General features: G+C 37.2%; 1 pseudogene; it reads left to right on the top strand.

Annotated features, from left to right (window-relative positions):
- On the top strand, window positions 14869–16099 carry RPL3P11 (ribosomal protein L3 pseudogene 11; annotated as a pseudogene).

Genomic DNA, 16371 nt, shown 5'->3' with positions numbered 1-16371 from the left:
TGGAGATATCTGATAGAGGGAGTCAGTCAGGAAAAGTCTCTGGGGAAAGGAATTCAGAGTAATGGGGGTGTCTTCCTGTAAGCCGTCAGCCTGAAAGTAGTCTTTTCCCACCTAAGTCCTGAGAGATTTACAAAACTCCTTACTTCACAGCAGCATGGGAAGGGTCATTTTGCAGAGAGAACTAACAAAACACTTTTAGCCTGGAAGAAGTGACAACTTTGGAGCATCCTGCATAATGTGGCTTTATAAACTAGCAAATAGAGTGTTGAGGAAGCTGTAGTGGCTGCAGTGGGATGACTGAGAACTCTGCAGTTAGTTGATAGCTCCGATTTCAAGAAAGGATGAGTCCAATATGAGATGCTGATGCGGACAAGGTCATTCACAGGGCAATCCTGCCTCTCAAGATGACAAAAGGAGATAGCCTAGGACAGAACCAGAGCAGAGACTTTCTACTACTCTAGACTCAGCAGATCTAGTGAGGTGGTTTGTCCTTTTTAAATTTTTAAATGAAAAAAACTAACACTACAGTGACAGTGTGCATATATTTATACAGAAAATCCTCATCACATAAGAATTTATTAATTAGCTTCCTGAAATTAGAAGTTGTATAGGGAAATGGAAAGGGAAAGCAACAAACAGACAACAAGGACAAAATAAACAGTTGCAATCCTCAACACATGTAAAATCTGCCTCTATCTGAACATCATTTGACACAAGCGTATTTCACATTGATCTCTTGATTGGTCAGTCTCTTACAGCATCCAGCAATAAAATGCAAAATATAATAACAATTTCTGGCAAAGTTAAAAACCTTGCAAATGGTATGAAATTTCATAAAAGTGGTGTTGGAGAACTACTCTAATCACAACACTTGAGCATCAAGCAGTCCTAGAGCCTTAGATCTCTTCTGTTTATCACAGAGAAATATATTAACAATGAATATCTCTTGTTATTGACTGAATATTTGTGTCTCCTGCAAATTCATATGTTGAAACCCCAGCCCCCAATGTGATGGTCCTTGGAAGTGCCGCCTTTGGGAGGTGATTAGGTTTAGATGAAGTAATGGGGGTGGGGCCCCCATAATGGGATTAATGCCCTTAAAAGAAGAAGAACAAACTGGAGCTCACTCTTTCTGTGCCATATGAGGGTACAACAAGAAGGTGGCCATCTGTAGTTCAAAGAGAGAGCCCTCACCATCCACCCACCCTGCCAGCACTTTGACCTTGGACTTCAGGTCTCCAGAAGTATGAGAAATAAATTCCTGTTGTCTAAGTCACCAAACCTATAGCAATTTGTGATGGCAGCGCAAACTAACACACTTGTGGAGAACAAGAATTTAATGAGATGGTCTGTAGTTCCTTTGGTTTTTATATTTCACTAAATATGTTTGGAATAATGTTAACAGATAATCCAATTCCTCTTTTACTGAAAACCACTATCAAGAGTCTGAAGACATTAAAAAATACTCTAGGTCTCTGTCTGTTGAGAGGAATATTACAGGTCACTGTTTAACACTAGTTTCTTTAACTACCCCAAACAAATGTCCAGTTATGGAAGAGTCAGTGAAAACTAGAATGTTGCTTGCCTGCTGTTTTTCTCTACATTTCATTAACAGACATCAAATGAAGTCAAGAGTTTAGGCATTGGATCCAAAGAAGGGGAAATTTGATCTATAAATTATGCTGCTGTTTCTTTTACTTATAAGTCATTGAGTAAAACCCATCAGCTATCTGTGAGACTCTCTAAAAACACTGTTAATGCCTTTTCCAAAAATAACATTAATGTTAATTTTTTCTTAGAGGTAACAAAGTTGACCGTAAAAGGATACATGTTTGAATAAATACTTTAGTCTAGATTGCCAGAGAAGTTTTAAAATTTGGGCAGTAAAGGCAATTCTCTTTTTTTTTTTAAAAAAAAAATGTCCAGTTTTCCCTTCCAAAACCTTTTTTATAAAGCACACTTTAATTTCTTACCCCTCCCAAAACATATACTCTCCTTTGATTTAATTTGCCAGAATCTGATTTTCAGTGTTCTTGTAAATTTGTACTATGAAAGCAAGCCAAAAAACAAACAACACATACATACATACATACACGCACAGCCACACACAAACCCCCCAAAACCTTCTATGCTTCCCTAGCTATGTCTCTCTTGGGAGGACCCTTCATTCAAAGGAGCTTTGACAACCCTTTTAACTAGATTAAAGATTCTAACAATCCTGTCTTACAAAACTACACTTTCAAGCTCCTGATTAAGTTAACTTGGGTAAAAGTTTCTTTGATTAGCAGGAAAAGTAGCAACAGTAAATAGCTGTAGTCTTGCTAGTTCCTAAAATGGCAACAGATGAATACGCCTAGGTGGATGCTGACTGTTGAGCACTTTCTATCACCATTTCTTCCTAAGAAACAAGAGTTCATTGGTTTCTTTGTTCACTCACAAGAGCACAGAAAGATCAAAGCCTCAACCTGCCTTAAGCTCTTGGAGTGTTGCCTCAGGAGGGAACAAGAAGAAAAAGTTTCCAGAGTGTTCAGAATGCAAATAACATTGACACCTATTTCAGAGTAAGCCCTGGAGGAGAGAAAACTTATCAGACAAAGCTTTTCTTGCCTAATGCTTAAAGGTGCTGGCATATTTCCCGCTAAAGTTTAATTCATTTTGAAATTTCAAGGACTAAGTTCGATGGTGTGAAATGGGCATCGTTCTATAAGGGCTTCTATGCGCTTTGTTTTGCTGTTTCTGGATACCAACATCTTGGTTATAATGCCAGTCCAGGGATCTGGCAATATAGGTGTTATCTAAATATCAAGATATTTAGATCAACATCTAGATAGTTTTTTTATTTGGACTTTATGAAACCAACAAAAAGGATATTTAGAGAATGACAGAAACAATATTCTGCAGTGTTCCTTCAGTAGAATTTATTGAAGATGTACAAGTATCACAAAATAAGAATTACAGAAGAACTCTTACTCTTTTTTCTTACTCTTTTTTCTTTTTCTTTTTCTCCTCTTTTTTCTTACTCTTGTAGGAATAAATGATTGCCAGTGTCTTCTGTAATTTAGATAACCATCTTTAACATCTGTGTGTCCCTTGATGTTCTCTCTCCATGTTTTGTGTTGGAATGTGTGCTCACGTTGTGGCCCTTTTTAAATAAGTGGCCCTTTTAAAATAGGATGTTGTAGTTTTATTTCTGTAGCTGCTCAAAGTTTACACTTCCCACCCCGCCCCGAGACAGAGTTTTGCTCTGTTGCCCAGGCTGGAGTACAGCGACGTGATCTTGGCTCACTGCAGCCTCCGCCTCCCAGGTTCAAACAATTCTCCTGTCTCAGCCTCCCAAGTAGCTGGGATTACCGGCGTGAGCCACCATGCTCAGCGTTTTGTTTGTTTGTTTGTTTTTGTATTTTTAGAAGAGATGGGGTTTCATCATGTTGGCCAGGCCGGTCTCAAACTCCTGACCTTGTGATTCGCCCACCTCAGCTTTCCAAAGTGCTGGGATTACAGGCAAAGTTTGCAGTTTATGTATAGAGTGTTTCAATTATTTTCTACAGAAGGTGAGCTTCTCTGGCAAAGGCTTAAGGAGACTCACCAGTATGTGGTGGGATTATACTTCGCTGCCTACTCCCTCACAGTCACGTGGGGCAATGTGACTAATTCTAGCCAGTGAGGCATGAGTAGAAAAATCATGTGTCACTTAAATGCCAGAGCATAGCATTGCATTGCCATTGTTGAACCCTTCTACTTGCTCTTCTTTTGCTACAATGACCATGGGAGCATGTGTTGATGTGGAGGGACTGAAGGATTGAAGCTGAATGGTAGGCTGAAACAACACAGAGGACACCTGACTTGGAGAGGTTCCCTGATCGGCGGCAAACTTTGCCTAAACAAGAAATAAATATATGTTTTAAGACACTGAGATTTTTGTGGGCTGTTTGTTATCACAGAATAACCTTTCCTGTTCTGACCTGACTGATACAGCTTTTCTCAATTGTGTTCTGCAAATATTTGACTGTTTCGTCTGTTAGCTAAAATTCTCTAACTTGAGAGCCACTGCTTTCTTTCAGTTGTATTTGCTTTCACTTTAGGTACCTGGGTATGGGGCAGATGAAGACCTTTGGTGAAAAGGAGGTAATTGCTCTTCAGAGATTCTGCTTTAAACACAGATTTTCCCTTAATCACCATGGCACTGCTTGTGTAACACTGTTTGGCATTCCGTAGATGTGTATTGACTTGAGTATTATTTTTAAACCCTCTTGTGCTTGATGTCATGTGAGCTCCAAAGGTTGATTTCTTTTGAGTGTAACAGGATCATTCTAGATGAATACTAATTTATGAACTCTCAGCCCCCTTCCACATCTTTTTAAAACCTAATTCCAGATATTCAATTTCTCCTTGGGCATTCTGAATGCTTAAATGATTGTATATGCTTGACGTGTATTCTATGGCATGGATGTGGCCATTGCCTTATGCTGTTCTCTTTCTCTGCCCTGCTGTGTTCAGAAATGAAGATTTTATTAACAATAATGAGAGAATGTTAATAAGTACTATGGCGTTAAAGCAGCTACTTTGTAGTTACAAGATGAGAAGCTGCTGTTAACAACAACAGCAGCAATACAACAAACCCACAACAGTCTACTTATTGTTCAATAGCTCGTTTATATGCATTACCTTGTTTGACCTAAAGAAAGAGCTAGACTTTTACTATCACCATTAAAAACTGGGAGTTAGAAGTAGTTTGCTTTTTAGCAAAGTAGAACTGCAAAATATGCCTTTAGATTGAGTTTTTCCTATATTTGCTTTTCATATTAATACTTAACAATTTACTTCTTTAGATGTAACAATGAAATAGTAGAATTTTTCAGATGTAATCTATATTTCACAGCCTGAGTGAGGATCAGTTGGCAATTTATATCTGAATCGAAATGAATTATAATCCTGTATATTGAGGTTTTGTCTTCTTTTCCTTCTTCCCCACAACCCCCAGCTCACATCCTTGTCTATCCCACCATAATGTAGACTCCAGCATGGTTTTTCATAAAATGTGAAACATGCCTTCTAAGCTGTATGAGGAAATTCTGACTAGACTCTAGTACTTCTGGGAGGGAAGAAAAAGAAATGGCTGTTTGTAAAGTTGTCATTCTAGATGAGTCAGACTGAAGAAACATCCCCAATGTTCCAAAATAAACAAAAGTTGAACTGATATATCTTATTAACATTTTAAAAAGATAAGACAAATTAATCTAATTTGAAATATGAATGATACACTGGTTCAAGTGGTATTTTAGTTTTTGTAAGAAAACTGTATGACTTGTGCAGGCAATCTGTCTTTCTAGGTCTCAGTTTCTTCCTCTGTAAAAGGAGAAAATTCAACTAGATTACCAGTATGGGTTCTCTAGCACTGATATTTTGTTCCTTCAGCATTCAAAGAATCTAATGGCACATCTGGAATTGATTCACAAAAGAAAGTGTAATCATACCATTTGCCCCCATCCCTATAGCCTCAAACTACTATACCTTTTCATAGTCACAGAATATCCCTTCTCAGATGATAGCATAAATTCAGAAGATTACACTGGGCTTCTCTGTAACTTTGCTCTAATAGGCTAAAGGAAATTACTCCAGTTGAATTTGCATGCTTGCAAACAACGAATCTGTGAAATCAGTGAACTTCACCCAATATCTTTGTCTTTAAAAAATGTTTCTTGAAGGGCCCATAGTCTACTTACGGCCCTGGCATAATTTCATTAATTTATATGGCAAAGGAAAATTGTTTCTTCCTTTTGTCTATGCAGAGAATACTCTAAATTTAAAGCAAATGTAATCTAGATGCATTGTTCAAAATGTTATCCTATTATGTTTCGAAGGGTACATTTTGACTAAAACTGTGACAGTTCTGAAAGATGCTGTTTCTTTTGATAATTTTTGGAAGATGTATTTTTTTCAATGTTGAAATAACTATATATTCACTGGAAGTTGCCAAGGAATGCACAGAGAGACACAAACTTTCCCATGTGTTTTCCATAGGCTATTTGTTGGCCACAATATAAGAGCAGACATGAATACATACAAGAACTAGGAACATTAAAAACATAACATGATATACATTTAATTGTGCTAACTGAAAAACAAGTGACAGCATTAAACCTCTGAACATAGTAGATGAAAACCATCTTAAGAATAAATTATTGTGACTGGGTGCTGTGGCTTACACCTGTAATTCCAGCAGTTGGGGAGGCCGAGGCAGGTGGATCACTTGATGTCAGGAGTTTGAGACCAGCCATGATGAAACCCCATCTCTACTAAAAATAAAAGCATTAGCCAGACATGGTGGCACACATCTGTAATCCTACCTACTCAGGAGGCTGGCTGAGGCACGAGAATTGCATGAAACCGGGACGCGGAGTTTGCAATGAGCTGAGATCGCGCCACTGTACTCCAGCCTGGGCAACAAGTGAGACTCTGTCTCAAAAATAATAACAACAACAATAATAATAATAGATTGTTAAAAGATAACTAACAAATATGGAAGAATCTGAGTACATGGGGATTTAAAAATGTTAGAATGAAAATGAGTAAAACAGAGTCATGTGCTCTGGGAATTCAAAACTTAAAATACATCCTGAGGCTATTGTAAAGAAACTTAAAAAAACCCCACATTATTAAAAAGACACAAAAAAAGAATCAGGAAATGTTACTTTTAAAATTATTCCATAAACCACAACTATCCTCAAAAAGTCGGATAAAGCTGCGTCATATTGTTAACAGCAATTTCCTCTGGATTATGGTACTTGAGTAAGTCTAATTTCCTATGTTTCAATTTCTGTAATACTCCAATTTTATTAAAAAAGCAAACATTTTCTATTGTTATCAAGCAAAAAAGAATCTAGCAAAGAATTATATAAATTATCTACTTCATTGGCTTTGTAACTTGGATAAAGGACAATTCACTCTGCCTTCTCCAGTGTTGACACCTTGCATAACTATAGTACAATGCCAAAACCAGTCGATTCCATTGGTACAATCCACAGAGCTTTTTCAGATTTCACTCCTTATACATAGACTCACTTGTGTCTGTGTTCAATGTAATCATACCATAAGTAGCTTCATGAAAATGTGTTTTAAAAATAAAGCTATAAAGAAATTTGTATTGGGGGCATGTACAAAACATCAATAGTGTTTTTCTCTAACATTAGCTTCTTCAACAGAAGTTCTGCTTCTGATAATGATTGAACATCTCAGTTGATCAGACTTGGAAAGTAGATCAACTTTGCAGTGATAATAACTAAAGAAGATATTTGTAATTGGGAATAAAAAACTGTTTTAAACCACAAAGTTCTACCAAGACAGCCAGTATTTGTGGGTTTAAGATACTGTTAAAAAAAAAAAAAAAGGAAAAATTGAGATAAACCTGGTATTCTAGGCAACTTTTTCTCCTTGATATATGCACTTATATATAAGGGGGATGGGGAGAAATGCTGAGACGCCAAGCATAAAGCATCTGTTTAGGCCGGGCGTGGTGGCTCATGCCTATAATCCCAGCACTTTGGGGGCCAGGGTAGGCAGATCTCTTCAGCTCAAGAGTTCAAGACCTGTCTGGGCAACATGGCAAAATCCCATTTCTACAAAACGTACAAAAATCATCCAGGCATGATGGTGCACACCTGTGGTCCTGTGTACTTGGGAGGCTGAGGCGGGAGTATTGTTTGATCCCAGGAGGTTGAGGCTATAGTGAGCCCTGATCATGCCACTGCACTGATACAGTGAGACCCTGTTTTTTCCTAAAAAAAAAAAAAAAATGTTGAAAGACCCATTGTTTGGAATGGGAGAAAATACTAATTTATACTAGATTCCTAATTTATACTAGATTACACATAGTGTGATCTTTTTTTTTTTGTTAAAAATGCTCATTGTTGCAATCAGAGGTTTCTCTTTTTTTTAAATTTATTTTTATATATTTTTTATTTTTTATTATACTTTAAGTTTCAGGGTACATATGCACAATGTGCAGGTTTGTTACATATGTATACATGTGCCATGTTGGTGTGCTGCACCCATTAACTCATCATTTAACATTAGGTATATCTCCTAATGCTATCCCTCCCCACTCCCCCCAACCCACAACAGTCCCCGGTGTGTGATGTTCCCCTTCCTGTGTCCATGTGTTCTCATTGTTCAATTCCCACCTATGAGTGAGAACATGCGGTGTTTGATTTTTTGTCCTTGCGATAGTTTGCTGAGAATGATGGTTTCCAGCTTCATCCATGTCCCTACAAAGGACATGAACTCATCATTTTTTTATGACTGCATAGTATTCCATGGTGTATATGTGCCACATTTTCTTTTTTTTTTTTTGTATTTTCTTTTTTTTTAAATTATTACTGTACTTTAAGTTTTAGGGTACATGTGCACAATGTGCAGGGTAGTTAGATATGTACACATGTGCCATGCTGCTGTGCTGCACCCATTAACTCGTCATTTAGCATTAGGTATATCTCCTAATGCTATCCCTCCCCGCTCCCCCCACCCGACAACAGTCCCCAGAGTGTGATGTTCCCCTTCCTGTGTCCATGTGTTCTCATTGTTCAATTCCCATCCATGAGTGAGAACATGGGTTGTTTGGTTTTTTGTCCTTGTGATAGTTTACTGAGAATGATGATTTCCAATTTCATCCATGTCCCTACAAAGGACATGAACTCATCATTTTTTATGGCTGCATAGTATTCCATGGTGTATATGTGCCACATTTTCTTAATCCAGTCTATCATTGTTGGACACATAGTGTAATCTTTTAACCACTTTAAAAAGGGTAAACTAACAAAGCTTATTAATAAGGGGGAAAATAAAATAATAAAATGTTAATTAATTAAAAAGAAAGCCAGAAAGTAATGAAAAATAAACATAAAATAGGTAGAAAAAAGAAAAGTATTAGATGACAGATTCAAACTCAAATAAATGAACTAATCTCCAATTATAAAATAGAGATTGTGACCAATTTCATCTCAATAGTTCTGCTTTTTTATCCTTCTTTTGTAGTTTTTCAAATTTGGATTTTTCCCTTCTTCCAGATTTTTAAGAGAGTATCCTCTCCTCTCTTAGCTTGTCCCGGAATTCCTTTGCTTGGTGAAATCTAATCTATGAGACAGAACAGGAAAATGGGAGGAGAACAGCATTTTGCATCTATCTACGACACTTTGGCAGTGAACGTGGAAAAAACATCTCTTTACCTCCTTAGGCTTCTATTCCTTCATGTAAAAGATAAATCCACCGGAATGAATTTTCTCCAAGCCTTTTTCAGGCCTAGGATCCCTTTAAGCCTGGGCTCTGTACCTATGCCATGGGGCTAAAGTTTATCATAATCTCTTATATTTTGAATGCTTTTAAGAGGAAGTGCCAAGAAACTTAAACTTCAAATTTCATCCATCTCTGGTCACATATTCTGTACGCACAATACCTCAAATACAAAAAATAAAGATGAACTGTGTGGCAGGATTGTGGTAAGAAGGTAAGACATACTGTGGTGGAGGGATTACTGGCCCTGGGTTCAGGAGAACTAGGTTCTAAGCTCGATTCTGCTCTTAATTAGCCATGTGATATTGGGCAAGTCATGTGAGTTCTTAGCTTTGCCAGAGAATAAGAAAAGTATATTGGAAAACATTTTATATGTTATATAAAAAAAGAACAAGAACAATAAAAATTAAACGTTTTATTACAAATGAGTTCAAATTAAAATACATGTAACAGATTAGAAAACGATTTGCAACATATCTAAAGGACGAAGGATAAAGTTCTAAAAAATATACAGAGATATTACAAATCAATAAAAAACAGGCAAATAAACCAATAGAATATCAATAGAGGATGTGAACAGGCATTTTGTTGCTAATTTCAGACTTTGGGACAATGTTACGTGTAGAAATGTCCAATAGGAATGTTGTTGTTCATCAATAACCATATTCCTGCTGTCAGATATAAGTTCAACTCATAGAATATATAAGTCTATTAACTACAGTATTTTGATTCAAGGAACTTCACTCTGGTGTTGTATGAAAGCAATGGAAGTAGGAACAAGAGGCAAGGATGAAGACTATACTTGCTCTGCAATTTTAGACATTCCACTGAGTCTTATCTCCTTCCCTAGAAAACTGTGTGTATAATAATATTTGCTCAATTTTCCTGATCAAAGACAAAAATAAATAAGAAATTGCTTTGTATTTTACAGATACAAAGCGTTATTATTATTGAAATATTTTATAAAGTAAACTCTAAAGAAGTCTACAAATGTGATTGGTGCCAGTTACAAGGAACCAGAGGCGAGAATGGGATGATTGTTTTCTGTTCACCAGTTACTGTGTTCCAATATCCTAACTCTGCCAATGAGATATGTGACATGTCAAAAAGTGGCTGTGGCTGGGCGTGGTGGCTCACGCCTGTAATCCCAGCACTTTGGGAGGCTGAGGAGGGTGGATCACAAGGTCAAGAGATCAAGGCCAACATGGTGAAACCCCGTCTCTACTAAAAACACAAAAATTAACTGGGTGTGGTGGCGCGACCTGTAGTCCCAGCTACTCGGGAGGCTGAGGCAGGAGAATCGCTTGAACTCGGGAGGCAGAGGTTGCAGTGACCCGAGATCACGCCACTGCACTCCAGCCTGATGACAGAGCAAGACTCCGTCTAAAAAAAGGAAAAAAAAGGTGGCTGTGATGCATTTTTTCTTTTAATGTTCGTATATACTTGTTCTGCTTTATATTCCCCTGCATGTTCAAGAACTTAAAAGTTATACCAGTAATCCAAATATATATTCTTCAAATAAACAAACTAAACTAGGCAGAATAAAAAGCAAATGTTTCCTTCATCCTTTCTCATCCAGCTTCCCCCTCCTTGGAGAAACATTTGGAATGCATCTTTCTACATCTTTTTTCATGTGTTTATATAAGTATTTAGGTGTTTTTTTCCCACAAAAGTAATCATACTGTACTTGTGTTCTGCAACTTGCCTTATTTTGCTGGTTAACTTAAGAACATGCTTTACAGATCATTTAAGAGTAGTAAATACAACATATTTGATTATTCTTAATTGTTGCATATTATTCCATAAAATAGATATACTATTAAGGTTATTAAAGATGTTTCAACTAATAGATGCACAGTTAGGTTGTTTAAGGTTTGTGTAATTATGTGAGAGTATTTTTGAAGGAGAGATTTCTAAGAATGTAATTGATCAAGCAAATATTTATTACATGTAATTAGATAAATATTGCCAAATTATCTCCCAAAGGCAGAGTTTAGGTTTTCCAAATTGCACTCCCATCAACGAAACATGAAATGCCTTTTCTCCCACACCATCACAACAATGCACATTCTCAAAATTTAATTTTGGCTCATTTGATGAGAGAAAATAACTCACTGGTTAATAGTGAAGTGAAACAAAATTTTACACATACTTTCTATATATCCTTGCGTTTCTTCTTCTGTGAATTGCCTGTTCATATCCTTCACCTGTTTTCTGTTGGATGATTTGTCTGCTTCTTACTGATTTGTTAAAATCTCTTTACAGTTTTTGAGTCTTTATTTTTTGTCCCTTATATATGTTGCAAATATTTTTTCAACTTATTACATGTGTTTTAATTTATTAATGATACCACTTGTCATAAAAGTTTAAATTTTCATTTTTTGTTCTTTTTTTGTGACTTCTATGTTTTCCAGTGTGCTTTTCTAATATTTTTATTGTTTTGTTTTGTATATTAAGGAATTTTTTTAGTAATCTGGAGTTTATTTGGGGATATGATAGGAATTATAAGTTTAACTTTTTTTCCCAAATTGATAGCAAATTATTTCAACATGGTTATAAAAATTAATTTAGTCCTTTCTATGGTTGTTGAGTATAGCATTTTGTATATTAAATTTCAATGACACATGATTCTATCTCTGAAGCTCTCTATTCTATTTAATTAATCTAATTGTGTAAGCTTGCATTATAATAGTTTTAATTATGTGTCTTTTCTTCTTGAAACTTTGAAAATTTATCTTTTTCTTAAATAATTTTGCCATCTTTTAGATCACCGAACAATTTTTCTCCTTTAATCTATTAATTTTGTAGAATTATAGTAATGGAGTCCCTGATGTTGAACTATCCTTACACCTCTATGAAAAGCCTGTTTGGTTGTTGTTTTCATGCAATGCTGGATTAGATTTTCTTACACCAAAGATTTTTTTATTCATGTACCAAATGAGATTGGCCTCAGAGAAAGATTCCTCCAAATCTTTCTCTACACGTTTGCATAAATGGCTTTATATTTTAAAATAAAGATTATTATACTAGATTTTTGGATTGAGCTGGGAAGTTTTCCATCTTTTTCTATGCTTTGGAAACAATTATACAATATAGCAATGATCTGTCCTTTGAAAGTTAGATATATATACCCATGATGTTGCCTGGGCTAACTCTAGTTTTAGAGATAGATTTTAATTTTGATAGTAATTATTACATTTTAGGTGGCTATATTTAAATATAATTGCTTGGTTTTGAATGTTTTTATGTTTTGTATATAAATGCTGCTTAAGGTTTGCTGGTTTCATTGCTTTACTAGCCAGTACATCTCCTGTAAATACTGTACTGTGATCTTACCACTTCTCCATCAATTGTGTCACACAAAGTAACTCAATATAGGACTCATACTCTGGAGTAAAACAAGCCTTAAACCTTTTAGTCTTCATTTTCTCAGTATCAGCTTTATTATCATTATTTAGTTTACTACTACTGTTTTCAGAAAAAAATGGATCTTTTCTTGACTCTCCTTCCCCCAAAATGTCACTGAAGATCACCTTAACTTTAGTATATTAAGGATAAAAATATAAATATTACTTCCCCAATTTAGCTAATAATGATGAACCATAAACTTAAAAATAAGCTTGATTAAAAATGAAAGTGGTTACAAAAGAACAAATTATAAAAGTAAATACATGCTTTGTTCCACAAATTTTTATATGCTTTTGGCATTCAGTTAATGAACTAACAAAATGCCAAGTGTTGTCACATGTCATACCACATGTGATTCATCATGCAATTTCAACAACCCAGCTAGTTTGTACACTGTTCAAGGAGATTTATTGCCTGATCATGGTCTTGGATGTTGCAGCAAAGTCAAATTGTTTCTAAATACTTACTTTTACTTTCTGTATTTGTTGTGGTCCAGTAGTAATGCATTTGTAGACTGGCACCAGAATGGGGGCCAATGTTGTGCAGTACTGTTGTAGGTCGCCCCTTTAAGTGGTAGAATCAAGATTCCAACCAAGGAGTGTGCACTGTTCTCTTGCTTTCTCAGTGGGGTGCTTTTGGACTCCTTGGAATCCTACTCTGCCATGATTAGCTATTTTGTTTCCAGCTCCTTCCATGTACACAGGCTTGGAACCAACCAGACCCTCTGTAAAAAGTTCAGCCCTGTTATGTCCTTTTCCCTGGAGGTCATCAGATCCCCTTAGGTGAACATCTGGGGACTTAACTTGTTTCCTAGACCATTATTAGCTGGTGGCAAATACTCATTTCCCTTTCTCTGAATTTAAAGCCAAAGACAATCTCCATCTACTACTTGCTCAAACGGGGTTCTAGTCCTTCAACTCACCATGGAGGAGATATCAGGGATTCCAACAGAGAGAGAAAGCATTACTAGTGATGCTTAACTGTGCCTCTTGTTATCAATTTTCTTTTCGAGATAGAGTCTTGCTCTGCTGCTCAGGCTGGAGTGCAGTGGCGCAATCATAGCTCATTGCAGCCTCGACCTCCTGGGCTCAAGTGATCCTCCTACCTCAGCCTCTTGAGTAGCTAGGACTACAGGCATGCACCGCTGTGCTTGGGTAATTTTAAACATATTTTGGAGAGACAGGATCTTAGTATGTTGCCCAGACTGGTCTTGGACTCCTGGTCTCAAGTGATCCTCCTGCCTCAGTCTCCCAAAGTGCTGGGAATACAGACATGAGCCACCGTGCCTGACCTGTTATCAATTTCTTAGTAATAGAACTATGAAAATGATTAGATGTTCGTCTCTTTATTCAGCACCCATTTATAGCTGCTTAGTCCCACCCTCCCGTGATTCTTCCCTTAGAAACTATGACCTTTTTGCAATCTTTTCTTTAGAAGCAGATTCACTGCAAATAATTAAAAACTCAAAATTTTGATTAGACTTCATGTTTGGTAGGAACTGTTTATTTATTTTTCCTCTCACAATATCTAATAAATATTTATTTTTATCTAATAAAACTCCAAAGATATATTTAGGATAGAGAATGAAATGCTGCTGACCAAATTAGAGTCCTTCAGATTATTTAATTCAGGCTAGCTTATTTCAAAGCAGTGGCCATCAGGAGGAAGAGGCTGTAGATAAATACTGAATTTCTTAAAAAGTAATTGTGTGCCTCATCCTTCCCTTTTTAAATCACAGAAGTAATGAATATTCTTGAGAAAGTACAATATATTTTACTAAGAAGTAAAAGGGAAGTAAGTTTAATCATCCTAAAGCTACCACCCAGAGGAGATAATTTACTATATAACCTGCCAGAAAGTTTGTGCAAGTTTACCTATAAATATACTGAAAAGTGTCCATTTCCTCTGTGTGTGTATTTGTATCCTGAATTTTTCACTCACGTATCAGTAAATACAAGTCTGCTTCATAATGGTGACGTGCCATTCCATTGTGTGAGCGATTACAATTTATATAGCCATACTCCTGTTATTGGATGTTACATTGTTTCTAATTTTTCACTACTTTAAACGCACTGTAACAGAAACAATTGAAGCATTTTGTTTTAAATATTTGGTGCTAATTATATAATGCATCTCTGGGAAAGGAGGATCCACTCAAGCTATTAAGAACTCCTGCTCTATTGGCGGGATTCGATGACAACATGTCTCACAGGAAGTTCTCTGCTCCCAGACAGGGGTCCCTGAGCTTCCTGCCTGGGAGGCATGGCAGCAGGCATCATGGGAAGGTGAAGAGCTTCTCCAAGCTTGACCCTTCCCAGTCAGTCCACTTCATGGTATTTCTGGTTTACAAGGCTGGCATGACCTACATTGTGTGGGAAGTCTGTAGGCCAGGATCCAAGGTGAACAAGAGGGAAGTAGAAGCTGGGCCATTGTGAAAATGCCACCCATGGTGGTTGTAGGAATTGTGGGCTATGTGGAAACTCCTTGAGGCTTCCAGACCTTCAAGACCACCTTTGCTGAGCACATCCAGGATTAGTACAAGAGGTGCTTCTATAAGAACTGGCATAAATCTGAGAAGAAGGCCTTTACCGAGTACTGCAAGAAATGGCAGGATGAGGATGGTGAAAAGCAGCTGGAGAAGAACTTCAACAGCATGAAAAAGTACTGCCAAGTCATCTGCATCATTGCTCACACCCAGATGTGCCTGCTTCCTCTATGCCGGAAGGCACCTGATGGAGATGCAGATGAATGGAAGCACTGTGACCGAGAAATGAGAGTAGTCCCAGAAGAGTCTAGAGCAGCAAGTACCTGTGAACCAAGTGTTTGGGCAGTATGCAATGATCAATGTCACTGGGGTGACCAAGGGCAAAGGCTACAAAGTGGTCACCAGTCATTGGCACACCAACAAACTGTCCTGGAAGACCCACTAAGGGCTGCACAAGGTTGCCTGTGCTGGGGCATGACATCCTGTCCATGTCGTTTTCTCTGTGATATGCACCGGGCAGAAAGGCTGCTACCACTGCACTGAGATCAGCAAGAATATGGCAAACTGATTAAGAACAATGCATCCACTGATTATGATCTGTCTGACAAGAGCATCAATCCTCTGGATGGCTTTGTCTATGGTGAAGTGACCAATGAGTTTGTCATGCCGAAAGGCTGTGTGGTGGGAACCAAGAAGTGAGTGCTCAGCCTCTGCAAGTCTTTGCTGGTACAGAGCAGTGTCCTCTGGAGAACACTAACACCACCTCCAAGTTGGCCATGGCGGCTTCCAGACCCTGGAGGAGAGGAAAGCATTCATGGGACCACTCATGAAAGATGGAACAGCAGAGGAAGAAGGAGCTTAATGTCAGGAGCAGATGGCGCAGCCAGTGGGGTATCAATAGAAATTATTTTTTTCTACTGAAAAACAGAACAAAAACTCTGAATCATAAGGTTGGTTGATGTCATTCATTTTACTTTGTGCTTTATAACTTCCATTTATAAAACAAAACAAAAAACAAATAAAAATACTCCAAAATTATAACAAACCACTCCCTATATCTAGAACTGCAATATGAGTTTGAAGGTGGGCAAACCTGTTCCCCAGCTACTCCCACCCATAATTCTCCACCCCACATTCTCTTACGCTATCTAGAATCATGTGGCCTTAATTTTTAATCATTTTTTTCTCCTTAA

This window comes from Homo sapiens, chromosome 9, assembly GCF_000001405.40.
Source record: "Homo sapiens chromosome 9, GRCh38.p14 Primary Assembly".
Lineage (NCBI taxonomy): Eukaryota > Metazoa > Chordata > Mammalia > Primates > Hominidae > Homo > Homo sapiens.
The sequence above is the reverse complement of the archived record's forward strand: the minus strand, read 5'-3'. Positions and strand labels throughout refer to the sequence as shown.